This window comes from Homo sapiens, chromosome 22 (assembly GCF_000001405.40).
Source record: "Homo sapiens chromosome 22, GRCh38.p14 Primary Assembly".
Classification (NCBI taxonomy): domain Eukaryota; kingdom Metazoa; phylum Chordata; class Mammalia; order Primates; family Hominidae; genus Homo; species Homo sapiens.
Genome location: NC_000022.11, coordinates 46,084,489 through 46,097,919, shown reverse-complemented (window position 1 = coordinate 46,097,919; position 13,431 = coordinate 46,084,489). Strand labels below are relative to the sequence as shown.

The 13,431-nt window shown below is 60.4% G+C and overlaps 1 protein-coding gene, 2 long non-coding RNA genes and 1 other non-coding gene across 9 annotated transcripts in view, besides 6 other annotated features; all 4 read right to left on the bottom strand.

The window, feature by feature from the left end:
• On the bottom strand, positions 1-11,753 carry LOC112268288 (uncharacterized). Of its 2 annotated transcripts, none has more exons than XR_002958732.2 (3): positions 2,357-11,753; positions 2,037-2,278; positions 1-1,995 (listed from the first exon to the last, which is right to left on the bottom strand). It is a non-coding gene; the product is annotated as an uncharacterized LOC112268288 (long non-coding RNA). The 2 variants fall into 2 exon arrangements; XR_002958733.2 differs by having other exon boundaries at positions 1-2,278; positions 2,357-2,640; positions 2,682-11,753.
• Positions 1-11,923, bottom strand: part of MIRLET7BHG (MIRLET7B host gene) — a 27,932-nt gene extending 16,009 nt beyond the window's left edge. For both annotated transcript variants that reach the window (NR_027033.2, NR_110479.1), the window contains exon 1: positions 11,760-11,923. This is a non-coding gene — a long non-coding RNA (MIRLET7B host gene). The remainder of the gene's footprint in view (positions 1-11,759) is intronic.
• LOC124905135 (collagen alpha-1(III) chain-like) overlaps positions 1-13,431 on the bottom strand; it is a 69,285-nt gene that overhangs the window by 16,009 nt on the left and 39,845 nt on the right. Inside the window, exon 1 of one of the 4 annotated variants that reach the window (XM_047441694.1) lies at positions 11,760-11,923. The exons of the other annotated variants lie outside the window; for them this stretch is intronic. The gene's annotated coding sequence lies outside the window, so the exon portion shown is untranslated. Of the gene's footprint in view, positions 1-11,759; positions 11,924-13,431 lie in introns of those variants that run through there. 4 annotated transcript variants of the gene reach the window in all.
• On the bottom strand, positions 6,794-6,876 carry MIR3619 (microRNA 3619). Its single transcript, NR_037413.1, has one exon. It is a non-coding gene; the product is annotated as a microRNA 3619 (primary transcript).
• Positions 9,339-9,948: an enhancer, noted in NCBI's record as "H3K27ac-H3K4me1 hESC enhancer chr22:46483852-46484461 (GRCh37/hg19 assembly coordinates)". NCBI's record gives its function as "activates a minimal SCP1, AML or CMV promoter by ChIP-STARR-seq in naive H9 embryonic stem cells {active_cell/tissue: H9 hESC(naive)}" and the evidence as "EXISTENCE:reporter gene assay evidence [ECO:0000049][PMID:30033119]".
• Positions 11,388-12,587: an enhancer, noted in NCBI's record as "P300/CBP strongly-dependent group 1 enhancer chr22:46481213-46482412 (GRCh37/hg19 assembly coordinates)". NCBI's record gives its function as "activates an origin of replication core promoter dependent on BRD2, BRD4, P300/CBP, MED14 and CDK7 cofactors, with strong dependence on P300/CBP, by STARR-seq in HCT116 cells {active_cell/tissue: HCT116}" and the evidence as "EXISTENCE:reporter gene assay evidence [ECO:0000049][PMID:35650434]".
• Positions 11,388-12,859: a biological region, named in NCBI's record as "P300/CBP strongly-dependent group 1 enhancer GRCh37_chr22:46481213-46482412".
• Positions 11,718-12,289: an enhancer, noted in NCBI's record as "H3K4me1 hESC enhancer chr22:46481511-46482082 (GRCh37/hg19 assembly coordinates)". NCBI's record gives its function as "activates a minimal SCP1, AML or CMV promoter by ChIP-STARR-seq in naive H9 embryonic stem cells {active_cell/tissue: H9 hESC(naive)}" and the evidence as "EXISTENCE:reporter gene assay evidence [ECO:0000049][PMID:30033119]".
• Positions 12,290-12,859: an enhancer, noted in NCBI's record as "H3K27ac-H3K4me1 hESC enhancer chr22:46480941-46481510 (GRCh37/hg19 assembly coordinates)". NCBI's record gives its function as "activates a minimal SCP1, AML or CMV promoter by ChIP-STARR-seq in naive and primed H9 embryonic stem cells {active_cell/tissue: H9 hESC(naive and primed)}" and the evidence as "EXISTENCE:reporter gene assay evidence [ECO:0000049][PMID:30033119]".
• Positions 12,860-13,431: an enhancer, noted in NCBI's record as "H3K27ac-H3K4me1 hESC enhancer chr22:46480369-46480940 (GRCh37/hg19 assembly coordinates)". NCBI's record gives its function as "activates a minimal SCP1, AML or CMV promoter by ChIP-STARR-seq in primed H9 embryonic stem cells {active_cell/tissue: H9 hESC(primed)}" and the evidence as "EXISTENCE:reporter gene assay evidence [ECO:0000049][PMID:30033119]".

The window sequence follows — 13,431 nt, the reverse complement described above, 5'->3', positions numbered from 1 at the left end:
GACACAAGGAGACCAGGAAGTCAGCTCAGGAGGTCTGGTGGCTGAAGACTGGGGAGGGAGTGAAGGTGGCCTCTCCCTCCACCCCTCAGGGACCCCTCACAACTTCCTGCAGGTGGGCCCAACCCGGCGAGGCCTGAGGTTAAGAACTTTCCTGGGAGACAAAGGGCTGTGAGGACGGCCTCTGCCTTTGCCTCCGCTCCTGCCTGACACGCACGCCCAAAATCAAACCCCACCCGCTGGCTCCTGCACGCGAGCTGTGGACGTGGATGTCCTCTAGTGTCCACAGAGGAAGGGCCAGTGGGGCTTGGGGTGCTGGCTCACAGCAGAGCACCGTCTCTCCACCTCAGTGCTCAAAGAAGTCCCTGCCACCCTCGCTCAGCCCTGCCTTGGCACCCACTGTTCCCGAGGGCTGGAGTGTTCTCCCACCATCAAAGGCCCCATTCCTACCCATTATTTAGGCCACCTCCTCCAGGGAGCCCTCCTCAATCAGGGATCTCCCTAGCTCTAGCAGTAAACTGGGGGTCTCTTGAAATCAGCTCACAGATACTTGCAATGCCCATCTCTCCCCAGGCCTGGTAGCTCCATGGCATGGATCATGTCTTATGTGGCTTTGTCCCTGGGCCCAGCACATAGTGCCTGGCACCCAGGATGCTGGGAAGTGCCCCACTCATCCCCCATCACTCCTGGAATGACATCCAATATCTGGGACTTACAAGGTACAAATGGGACTTTGGTTCTTTCCGAAGAGGTGACTCAAGTGGTCACTGTGAGCCACAGAGAGAGACACCCCAAGACTGACTGCAGGAGAACATCAAGGCCCAGGAGCCGGCATTCGCCCAGGGTGACCCAGAGGCCCGCTCCTTCCCCTCCCCATCCTGCCTCAAGTCAGGCTGGCAGGCGGGCACCGCTCGCTATTGGTGAGGATTCGAGGGCAAACCCAGCCCAAGTCTGATGCCACAGCTGGGGTTCTGCTGGGCCTTAGGCCAGACTCAGGTGGGATGCTGAGCCCTGAGTGGGGGTAGGAGGAAGGTAGGGTCCAGGTCCTGAAGCGGGAGGGCGCTGCACAGCCTTGCACGGCTGCACACCTCGGGCACTGAGGCCCCCGGAGACTGTTTTCTCTCCCACACCCCCTGGAACCCTCCCCAGGCCCAGGCTTCCCAGCTCCTATGGACCCCAGGTTGCAAGAATGCTTGGCCGGCTGGGTGGCCTAGTGTGGCCATCCCAAAACCCTGTCGCCTGAGGACCGGGGCCACTCTCCTCTTTGATAGCTGAGAGTGTGAGTGGTGCTGGGTCAGGGACGGGGGTAGGGCCAGGAGTCAACCCGGTCACTGCTAACTAGCTAGGGGGGCTCCTTCTCAGCAACACTCCTGGCCTCAAGTTGGTTTCATGAGGCTTCCGAGGCTGGGGGACCTGCTGGTGGCATCCCACAGATGTGCTTGGCCACACACTGGGCAAAGCCTACAGCCAGCACCCCCACCCCGACCCTCTTCCCATCCCACAGAGGCTGTGCCATAATCAGCCCATCTCTGAAAATGGGAACAGGTCCATGGTGACAATCTCCACGCCCACTGAGGGCTGGGAGGGGTCTGGGGTCCCACAGAAGCTGCAGGTGATAGATAGCAAGGGGAGGTCGGCGCAGGCCCGCTGCTCCTGCCTCTTGGACAGAGCCTGCAGGAAGCGCTGTGCTGCATGCTGTCCTGACCCTTAGGAGGCTGCACTGAGGCCACAGAGCCCGTCATCAGGGTGGCTGGGGCGCCCTCTCCACCTCTCCCACCAGCAGCCTGGGCCAAAATAAAAGCCCCCACCCTGGGGCCCAGCGAGTCCTGATAGCCACTCTAATAACCCTGGGTCCCCCTGCCTGCCACCCACGGAGATATCCCCCTGCAGGCTGGTTAGGAAATCCCATGTGGCCCACCCTCACCTGCCACACTGGGCTGGGACCACCCCAATGCCCTCACCTGCCGCCCTGGGCTGGGACCACCCCAATGCCCTCACCTGCCACCCTGGGCTGGCTGGGACCACCCTAATGCCCTCACCTGCCGCCCTGGGCTGGCTGGGACCACCCCAATGCCCTCACCTGCCGCCCTGGGCTGGCTGGGACCACCCCAATGCCCTCACCTGCCGCCCTGGGCTGGCTGGGACCACCCCAATGCCCTCACCTGCCGCCCTGGGCTGGGACCACCCCAATGCCCTCACCTGCCGCCCTGGGCTGGCTGGGACCACCCCAATGCCCTCACCTGCCGCCCTGGGCTGGCTGGGACCACCCCAATGCCCTCACCTGCTGCCCCGGGCTGCCTGGGACCACCCCAATGCCCTCACCTGCCGCCCTGGGCTGGGACCACCCCAATGCCCTCACCTGCCGCCCTGGGCTGGCTGGGACCACCCCAATGCCCTCACCTGCCGCCCTGGGCTGGCTGGGACCACCCCAATGCCCTCACCTGCCGCCCCGGGCTGGCTGGGACCACCCCAATGCCCTCACCTGCCGCCCTGGGCTGGCTGGGACCACCCCAATGCCCTCACCTGCTGCCCTGGGCTTGGGACCACCCCAATGCCCTCACCTGCCGCCCTGGGCTGGCTGGGACCACCCCAATGCCCTCACCTGCCGCCCTGGGCTGGCTGGGACCACCCCAATGCCCTCACCTGCCGCCCTGGGCTGGCTGGGACCACCCCAATGCCCTCACCTGGAGCAGACAAGACAGGAGTTCTGGGGCCCCCCAGGAAAAGTACCACAGACTGGAGCTCCCCAGACAGCATGGGGACTGGCATGGCATGCCCCCGCTCAGGTTCACAGGGCTGCCACCAGGGCAGGCCCAGCCACGGAGGCCCACTTTTTTGTAGCTAGCCCAATTTAATGTATCTCGAACCCAGGTTAGCATCAAAAGTCTGACTTCCAGGTTACAGGAGCCAGGGGAGGGGAGGGGAGACGGGACAAGCCTGTTCCCCCAGTGGCAAGTGGAGAGAGACTGAGCAGCCTTTAGTGGGGCCCGAACCCCCCTGCGCCAGGGCAGCTGCCGAGGGCCCAGCCCCACAGGCCACCTCCCGTCTGCCCTGGATGTACCAGAGATGTGGGATTTCTGCCCTCACAAGTGAGTGGGCACCAGCTTTGGGGCAGGTGTAGCCCTGGGAGCTTCAGCTCCCCGGCTTGGAGACACAGGAGCCCCATCAAGCAGCACCAGCTCCCGCAGCCTGCCTGCCACCACTCACCCAGTGACCTCCCCTCCTCTCTGCCTGGTTTTGGTGACTGTGTTCTTGAGTTGGACAAATGCTGCATTACCTGCCTACGGAGATTTTAAAAAATCGGAAAATGCTCTCCTCCCTGGGGCTGCCTGAGCCTCCCAAGGCTGTCCCTGCTCTGAGCCCACACCCCGAGGTGTGCTTCCTTGCAGGACCCCTGTGTGGCCCCCAGGACAGGGCCAGCTTAGGCCATTTTCACAGATCGTGGCCCATCGAGGCTGGTGCTAAACCCATTAGAGTGAACACGGGGCTGGGAACAATGCCCCAGAGGCCGATCCCCAGCCCCATCCTAGCCCCTTCCCTGCCCCTGCCCACAAGCACCCCTAGGTCCATCCACAGGGTCTGTTCCCATCTCAGCTCTGCCCCTGGTCATGCTGCACAAGCTCCTTTGCCTCTCTGGGACCCAGTCTCTCTGTCTGTAAGATGGGGACAATGACACCCAACTTCTTGGATTTGCACATAGGTCAGAGACGATGTTCCTTGCCTGGGCATGGTGGGACTCAGTGGACAGCAGCACCCACTGCTAATCCCCCAGGGGGCTTCGAGTACATGGGAGAAGTCACTCCAAGCTCCAGTGCCTGGAGAAATTCCTCCCCCACCTCTTTTCATACAACTGACCGCCAGCTCTAGCCTGGGCCTGTGGCAGGAGGGGCCTGGGAGGAGGCTGCAGGGGCTGGCTGGGAGATGTGGCAATAAATGTGGCCAGCAGGACCTGAGCAGACACTTTTGGGGGCAGCCCAGGAGGCTCTGAGTGCCCTGCAGGAACCCCGATGTTGGCCAAGCTGCAGGGCCTAGGCCCGGGACCAGGACTAGCCAGGGATTCAGACTCGTCTTATCTTCAGCAGTGAACTGGTCCCTCTCCAAGGTCACATGTAGGAGAAACATCCTCCATGCACAGGTCAGTTATACCAAGGGCCCCTCAATTTACGTGTGAAGATGCTGTGGAAAGGATTGAAATCCGGCCCTCAGTAATGCTGTCGGATGTCCAAGGCCTCAAAGGAACCCCAAGCAGGCCGGGTAAAGTGGTTCATGCCTGTAATCCCAGCACTTTGGGAGGCCACGGCGGGCGTATCACCTGAGGTCGGGAGTTCCGAGACCAGCGTGGCCAACACAGTGAAACCCCATCTCTACTAAAAATATAAAAATTAGCCAGGAGTGGTGGCGCACGTCTGTAATCCCAACTACTCAGGACGCCAAGGCAGGAGAATTGCTTGAACCCGGGAGGCGGCAGTATCAGTGAGCCAAGATCACGCCACCACATTCCAGCCTGGGCGACAGGGTGAGACTCTGTCTCCAAAAAAAAAGAAACCCAAGCAGTTGGGAGAGGTCAAAACACACGGCAAAGCTGCAGGAGGTCACATCCCCGAGTTTCCCTGAGTTTGCACAAACCAGGGCCATATCCCCATCTCAGCCACTTCTCTTGGGCCAAAATGGCTCCAGTAGGGACGTCTGATGGCTACCACGGCAGCTGGTGTGTTCAGAGCACAGGGGGAGTTCAAGTCTCCAAGGACACGGCATCTAGTGGGGGAGCTGTCACCCCTGGGAGAAGCACAGGCTCTTGAGCCACACACAGGTTGCACAGAATCTTCTAGGCTCTTCAGTCTTCAAGAAGCTGGCCTCTCCTCTCCGAGCCCCAGCTTCACATCCTAAAGGCAACTATTTACACCTACTCCGTGATCTGACGCCACAGTGAAGAGAAAATGAACAGACGTGAAATTCCCAGCGGCTTGCCCGGCACACAGTAGGTGCTCACACGAGGCAGCTGGCAACGACTGCTAACCACCAAGTTGGTTCTGGAAAAGCAAGCCACGGCCAGACACGTGGCCATTCACACACCCACCGGGAGCTTCTGTTCCATTAGGGTTTGTCACAAACACTGCTGGTATCTGTAACGGCAAAACGACGGGCCACCGGTTCTAGATGAGAGAACTGAGTCCTGCTTTCTTTATAGTATTGTTTCCAGGCATCATACTCCCAGCATTCTAACCATGTGCCCGAGGCTATACAAGGATGGATTCTGCCCCAAAAGCAGCAGCAAAGTTGCTCTCATCAGCCACGCCAGATGTGGGGGAAGCTGGCCTTGTAGCACCCCTGTGCACCCCAATCTCCAGAACACCCCTTCCTTCCCCTTCAATCGGCTCTGCTCCTTTTAAATGGAGGAAATAAAATGTGCCTGGCAGATGGCCGCCCCATGACCTCCTGAGCATTTTGCAAATGTCTCTCTTTTGGGGGAGAACATGTTGCGATAATTTAGCCAGGCTAGGGTCACTCTGGCCAGATGATAAGTTTTGTAACTTAAACATTTTCTGCCCATTGCACAAGGAATGGGTGCTCATTCAACAAAGTTCTGGAAAATTGAGAGAGAGAGAACGTGGCAGCAAATACTGACAACCCTGTGCCAGGCCTGGCTCGCAGGGGCTCCCGTGTGCGTGTGGACGTGGGCCGCCTCCACCTGCCCACAGAGGCTTCTCCCATTGTGAACGGCCACACGAGAGTCCGGCAGGTCATGTTATCACAACTCCTCAATTCAAACGCCCAACCCCAGGAGCACGGCTGGTGCGTCGAGCTTTCCACATTTAAAGAGGCACTGCATGAACATCTCTGCAATAAATCTCTCCTCTGTCCTCCAGGTGGGATCCCAGGTTGAAGCCCAGGAATGTTTTTATGCCTGAGGCAGCCAATTCCACACCTGAACCCTCAGAACCCTCTAGAGATCCACTACATGTCAGAAGTGGGGGTCAGAGAGACTGTGGGAAGCTGAGGCTCAGAGCCGGGGAGGGGCTGGCCCAAGATCACACGGCCGAGTGGGACCCAGGCCCTGCTCACTGGTCAGCCGTGAGCTTCCCAAGACGCACTTGAAAGGCCTTCCCCGAGCTGCCTCGGGCCCTCTGGACAAAGATGCCAGGCCCCAGGAGGATGTGTGGCATCTACACACTTGTTCATTGCACCCGAGAAGGTGGAACGTGGAAAGACGAGGCCATGGTAGCTTCGACGGTTCCTTCCGGAGGGACCAGATGGGCCAAGGACCCAGCTGCCATGAGGTGGCCGGAGAGAAGGCCCAGCAGCGTGAGGGCTTCCTGGAGGAAGAGGGCCCAGCAGCATATGAGGGCTTCCTGGAGGAAGAGGGCCCAGCAGCATATGAGGGCTTCTTGGAGGAAGAGGGCCCAGTAGCGTGTGAGGGCTTCCTGGAAGAAGAGGGCCCAACAGTGTGTGAGGGCCTCCTGGAGGAAGAGGGCCCAGCAGCCTGTGAGGGCTTCCTGGAGGAAGAGGGCCCAGCAGCGTGTGAGGGCTTCCTGGAGGAAGAGGATGTTCATGAGCTACGATGCAGAGGAGGGACTGTGCAGGAAATCTGTAAACTGAACCTAAATTCTCTGACCTAAATTAACAGAATGCACCACCACCCACCGGTGACACCTGACGGGTCAATGGGTCCCTGCCCTCCATACCCAGCAGTCTGAGAAGAAAAGGCTCCATGACCCTTCTGGGCCACCTCTGTTTGTTAATATTCCCCAGTGAAACCCCCAAGCAGTAGCCTTGGCTTCCCTGTAGCCTGGCGCACACAGCCGTCCTTACCCCACAGCAGGCAGGATGGTCCCCCACCACGGGCTGCACCAGCCTGCCTGCTGAGTGCAAAGATGCCGTTTTTGATGACGTGTGGCTTCACAACCTCTCGGATGAGTCCTGAAGTGGAACTTACTTAGTGGAGGTGGAAAAATAAACTTGCCGGGGCAATGCCACAGCTTGGTGGCTTCTGACGTGGCACTGAGCACAGGCAGGCAGGTCATGGCTTTCTCTTCTGATTCATTCACTCATAAAATATTTCCCAGAGGAACACTTCCCTGGCCCCAGACAGGCTACTACCAGGCCCCAGGCCCCACAGCAGGGCAATGGGTGAGTGGAGAGCAAGGAGGGCTTCCAGGAGGAGGTGACACTAGGCCATAGTCTACAGAGGTCGAAGATGGGGCCACGGAGGGGGTCAGGGCTGGCTGTTGAGGGTCTCAAGAGTCCCCTGAAGGGGAGACTGGAATTCAGCCAAGAGAAGTACAGGCACCCTGAAAGGCAGGAGACAGGGCAGGATGGGCAGAGGCCTGCTTCGCGACCACAGCCACCACCATTCCACCCGCATCCCTTGTTCTAAGGAGGGACAAGGGCCTCCCCAGCCCTTCCCACCAGAGGCCACTGAACCTGGCCGTGGTAGAGAGAAAGGCCTAGGGTTTGGGCCGGTGGCCAGGCTGGCTCAGACTCCACCGTTTAGAGGGCCACGTGAGGCTCGACCTTCCAGACCTGGGCTTCCTGGCCTGTAAGACAGGGCCGGTGATCCGTCAGGGTTCTGTGAGGTGGCCCCAATGACAGATGTCAGTGCCCAGCACATGGAGGAGCTGTGTCCCGTGCTGCGTCACCTGCCCAGGGACTGCCGAGGGCCTAGACCCAGGAGATAAGGCGGAGCTCGGGTGCTGGGCCCACCTGGTGGCCTCTGTTTTCCCCATGGCGGCTCTCCAGGGTGCAGGGCACTGGGAGGGAGGGGGCAGGGAGCCGCCAGGAGCCGCCTGCCCGGCCGTAAATCACCAGCCACGCTTAATAATCATGTGGGTACTTAAGCTCCTCCGTCTTCTCTTCCCCTTTCCCTGGGGAAATTTCCTTCATTTCCTACCTTATCCCAGTCTCCCCGAATATCTAAATCAAGCCCTGGCCAGGACCGCGGCGGCCGCTCTGTGCCGACGCCCTCGGCCTACTTTCATCGGGATGGTGGGGTGGGGGGCGCAAAGGCAGGGGGTGCAAAGGCCGTGGCCACCCAGATGCGGCCACTCGAACCAAGGTTTCATTCCTTCCCAGGACAGAAAACTGAAAATGCCACCAAGCCCGCCCTTTGAGCCACAGTGACAATGTCCCCTATCACTGGGACCAGTCAGCAAAGCCAGGTTGCCTCGGGCAGGAGGCAGGGGCAGAAGCTGAGTGGGGAATTGACTCGGCCTCTTGACTGAGATGGAGGAAGAGGAAACGCCAACTCTCAGGCTACCTGGGCCACCAGGGCAGGGTGGCTGTCACCCAAGAGCCTGCCAGCAGCCCCTCCAGGTGGGCCTGACCACAGTCAGCCTGGCCCTGCTCTCCCATCATGGAGCTGGGCTCTCTGGGACGTGTGGTCTGCCTTGATCATGACAAGGATGCGGGGTGGGCGCAGTTCCGGTGCTGTCTCCTGCCATTTATCCAGCTTTGATCCCGCCTCTCGTCTCGTCTAACTCTCACCCTGACCAGGAGATCAAGGTTACTAGCCGCATTTTACAGATGAGGATACCGAGGCTGGGGGAGGCTAAGCAAGCTGCCCACCCCACTGGGCCATTCACTCCCTGCTGCCAAGAAGGTCTTCCACCTCCCGGGCTCTGTTCATCTGTGAGCTGGAAACGTGTTCCCAGGCCATCACCAGCACCCACAGGGCCCAGGGGAGGCCAACGCGCACCACCACCCCAGGCAGCAGGAGCTGGAAGGTCCCACGGGGAGAGCCATGCTGGCCACTGGCAGGCCAGGCAAAAGGCCCCAGTACCATCACCACCTCCCCGCTGAAGCCTCCCAACTCCCAAGAGCTGGAGGAGGAAGACACCACCAGGACGTAGTCTGGGCTGGGGCCACCTTGCTGCCGACCCTAACAGCCCAGCACCCCCAGGTCCAGCCCGGCGAGCTCTTCTCGTAACTCAGCCACGTGGTGGTGGAGGCACCTTCCCAGGCCTCCCTAGGCTCCCGGGGGATGAGTCGGCCAGGTTTTTAAAAGCTGGATCTCATTTTCTGCCCACATTTCTGACCTCCGGAAACCTCTTGGGGAGTTTTCCAGAGCCCTTCGGATTCCGGCGCAGGCACACTTCCTGCCTCCGCTCACTGTGTTCACAGCCAGGTCACTGGGTGCCAAGCAGATGCCAAGGCGGACCGGCGGGTATCGCTGCCCAGGCTTCTGGCTACACCTTCCATGCTGCATGTCCGTGGGCTCTGGCTGGCTCTTGGCCCCTCAAACAATCATCTCTGGTCAAATTCCATGACTCTTTCCCTAGAAAAAAAAAACCCTCTTTGAAAGCAAACAAAAATCCCAGTTCTGAGAACCCGGCAGCAACAGTGTACTGTGGCTTCATTTTCTCTTTGTCTTTCTTTCTCGGCATTGCAAGGAACTCAAGAAATAGATGGAGCTTTTCATTTTACAGATGGGTAAACTGAGACCCGGAGAGAGGAAGGGGCTTATTCAAGTGCCCACCAGTGATTCTACGGCCCAGCCAGGATGGGAGCCCAGTGCCCTGACTCAGATCCAGGGCTGAGTCCACGACACCAGGACCCAGCAGCAGCTGGCCTTCGATAAGAAAGGACAGGGGAGCAGCCACGGTGCCGGGCATCAGGCACCACCGGTGGGTGCTGGCCAGGGCGGGCGGGGCCCAGACCGCTGGGTTCCCTGGCACGGAACGGCTGGTGCTCGGTAAATGTGGGAAGAAACCCCCAGGGGAAGCCTTGAACTGCAGGGGCAGAGCTCAGGGAAAGCAGGCCGGCTCTAATGGAAACCAGTCAGCGGGCCAAATGCAGGAGGAGCCCCCCCCACCGTGGTTTCCATGGGGACGGAGCCCGGGAGGCGGAGCTCTGGCATGGCTGCTGCAGCAGATGTGGCCTGTACAGGGCCGGCACGGGGCGGTGCCTGGCAGTGGGGCCCTGGGACGTGGCAGGTCCGAGGGCTGGACGCAGGGGCCCTGCAGCTGCAGCCCTGGAGGTCAGCTGTGGGAAGGAGCGGGGGCTGCGGGGCTGCCACCTCTGGAAGGCTTCCTGGCATCCTAGGATGCTCCGGCTAACTTCTCAGCCCCGCCTGGTACTGGCCTCTGTCTGGTCTCCGTCTGGTGCCCGTGTTTGCTGAGGACATGCAGCCTGCCTCTCAGTGAGGCCGCCATGCCTGTGGGCCAGGCGCAGGCAGTGCAGGGCTTAGACCTTGGGTCTAGGGCTCCAGCCCCTCTGGCCAAGGCCCCGGTGCTCCACCAGGTCTGCTGGATCCCGTCACTCGACGGCATTCTCAGGCCTCTTCCCGTGGCCGTCCTGGGGCCTGGCACATGATGAGTTCCATAACCTCTCTGAGCCAGTGCTCTGCAGAATGAAGTGGGCTCAGAACTGCTCTGAAACACGAGAAAACCCGTGGACTCAGGGCCATGAGCGCCACAGCGCTCAGAGATGATTGGTCATCCATGAACGTGAACCATGCCGACAGATGGGGTGGGGTCTCCAGAAGGTTCTTGTGCCCCGTGACCTGATGTGGTCCCCGTCTGCCCATGCAGGGCTGGTGTCTTGTGAGCCCATCCTGGTCTGGCACACGGCATCTGGGTGTACAGTCTCATACGTTCCCACCTCTGGGCCGTAGGAACACCAAGAACGAGGATGACCACAGCTCCCTCCTTGCCACCGCCTGCTGCCACACTGCGTGCAGTCTCACACCTGCCAGCACACCAGCCTGGGCACAGAGCCCGAGAGTGGCAGGGTGCCCTGGAGCCCCATACAGCCCAAACCAGCATGCGCTGAATGCTGGCCACTCAGCCAGAGAGGACTCAGGGCCTCAGAGCCAGAGTGACCCATGACCCCAGGACAATTCCGGCTCTCCCCGGGGCAAAAGAACTCCAAGCCGACGGAATGGTCCTTCCTAGTGCTGGGTGTCTGGAGAGAACCAGACAAGGCCAGCATCCAAGAGAGGCTGAAGATCTGAAGATAAACAGGGATCCTGTGTGGTTCTGTGCAGGCACAGTCGTGGGGAGGACCTGGGTTAGGGAGAAGGCTCTGGTACCTGCTGGCCCCGTGACTCTGGGGAGATCCCTCGGCCTCTCTGAACCTTGGCCTCCTCATATAGAAAACCGTTAGCACCCACACGTCACTAGACTGGAACTTCCACCCAGACAGGGACGCTGTCTGTCCTGCTTACTCCACATTCTGGCCTGAGAACAGCACTGCTACGTGCTGGCTCCAAATGGATGTGGCAGGGAAATGGAACTGGCAGATTAAATTTAAAAATGGATGTTTATCAAAATGGATGGAAAGCACCTGGCCTGGGGTCTGGCACTTAGTATGTGCTCAACAAAGCTCAACACCCCTTGCCATGTGGGGCTGAGTCTAACATCCAACATGCACTGGCACTGCCCTGGGGGTGCCAAATGCGGCCCCCAGCTTTCTCCCCTGGACCAAGGCAGGGGATCTCCACCACCCAGGGTTCCCCGCTGCTCCTGCCCTGCTGGCCCCCGTCGCCCTGGCAGACGGAAATGCTGCAGCGGCCTCATCTTTCCCTCCACGGCTCCTGGCCGAGGCTGTGGCCGCCGTGGGCCGGCGTGGCCCCAGAGAGCCCATTTGCAAGCTGCTTCCATAGCGCAGATGCCTCGGGCAGAGCCCAGTGGGTTTGAGTCATTTGAGTCCATCACAGGAGAGACCTCACCCCTGCTGCTGGAGACCCAGTATGGAGGCCCGAGCCCCCTGCGGCTCACCCACCAGGTGCTGGGAGTCTCCACAGGTGCAGGCATTGGGCAACTTACTATCTCAAGCTGAAGGCGCCGTCTCCACGCCGCCCAGGCTTCCAAATGCGGCCACACGGACTTTGAAGGGCGTCCGCTGCAGGGTCACAGGCGCCAGTGTCTGCTCGTCTGGACCTCGAAGCACCAGGCCCAGGAGGAGTCCTCCTCTCATCGAGTTGAAAGAAGCCGCACAGGCGGGAGGCCTGGCAGGGTGGGATCCCTCCACCCACGTCTGGGCCGGAAGCGTGGGCACACCCACTCCAGGAATCCTAGGGCGGGGTCAGGCTCCCAGGAAATGGGGCCAGAGGTTCCCTTGCAGGCACTGGCGCAACCCGGCTGCCTTCCCGGTCCCCACCTCCTGTGGATTCCTTCTGGGGTTTTGCCGGAATGGCTGGCCCAGCCCACACCCTGAATCCAGCCCTCATTGAAGCTCGGAAACCCAGAGACTCATACCAGCCGATGCCAGGACCCTTCTCCAGGACCACCCGAAACTGCCACTCACCCGGTGCCACCCTGGCATCTGGGTGAGTGCTGGGTAATGCCATCCTGTTAAGGTCATGGGAAGGCAGTGGGTAGGGTTTGAAATGGGCTGAGACAGGCCCACCACAGAGCCTGGGCCTCCCGTCCCCTCTTACTAGGCCAAGGCAAGGGAAACACCAACGAACCAGGGGCTCCCCAGACCAGGATCTCATGCAGTGCCTCCAACCATCTACTGAGGCGGAGGCTGGAAGCCCCATTTTAAAGACAGAAGCTGGGACCTTGTAGTAAGAACCGTTTTTATCACGGTCTCTTTTGTCTGAAGGTGTGCTGGGCGTTACGCCGTCTCATCAAACCCCAGGCCCTGCTATGTTCCCTATTAGGAAATAAGGCCACTAAACCTCCCCGTGCCCTGGCACGCAGGTGCACGTGTGTGCATGTGGGCAGACAAACAGACCTGCCCGGGAAGGCCTGGCCAGCTGGCCGCTTCTTGGAGAAAGGCCGCTAGCACGCTGACCGGCCGACAGAGGCCTTCTGGGCCACTCCCTCCCTCGGCCCGCCTTCCCGGTCCTGTTCTGGGCCTGCCCACGCCGCCATTTCCTCTCCGGGGCCCGCAGGCCTCACTTCCACTCCTCCCAGTCTGCAAATGGCCGGCGCCCAGAACCGCCTGTCCACATAAGGAGGCAGCAGCGCGTCTGGCCAAGGCCCAGCATGCAGGCCACTCAGCCAGAGCCTCCCTCAGCAGTGCTGAGCACCTACGAGAAGCCCACGCCTGGATGCCCAGTCCACCCGCTGCCAGCTTTGGCTAGCCCTGGACTGGGGAAAACCACCCTTCTTCCCACGGGCATCCCTGGGGTGGTGGAGAGCCCATGGCACAGTCATCCCCAGGTGTGGTCTGAGGACTGTGTGGCCCACTCCGACCAATGCACCTCCAAACACCAGCTCACCTCTTTGGAAACTGCCGACCTACCAGGAACCTCACGCAATGGAGAAATAAGAGGACACCTATGCACACGTGCAAACATTACACGCACACACCTCTGCACCTCTGCGTACCAACATGCTGTCCACACCCGGGGCACCACGCACACGCGTGCCGCAACACGCGTCGGTGAATGCTATGGCAGCACATGGGCTTTGAAGGATGGCAGGGCTGGGTTCAAGCCCTGGCCCAACACTTATCAGCTGGTTGAATCTTGGGGAACCCACTTAGCCT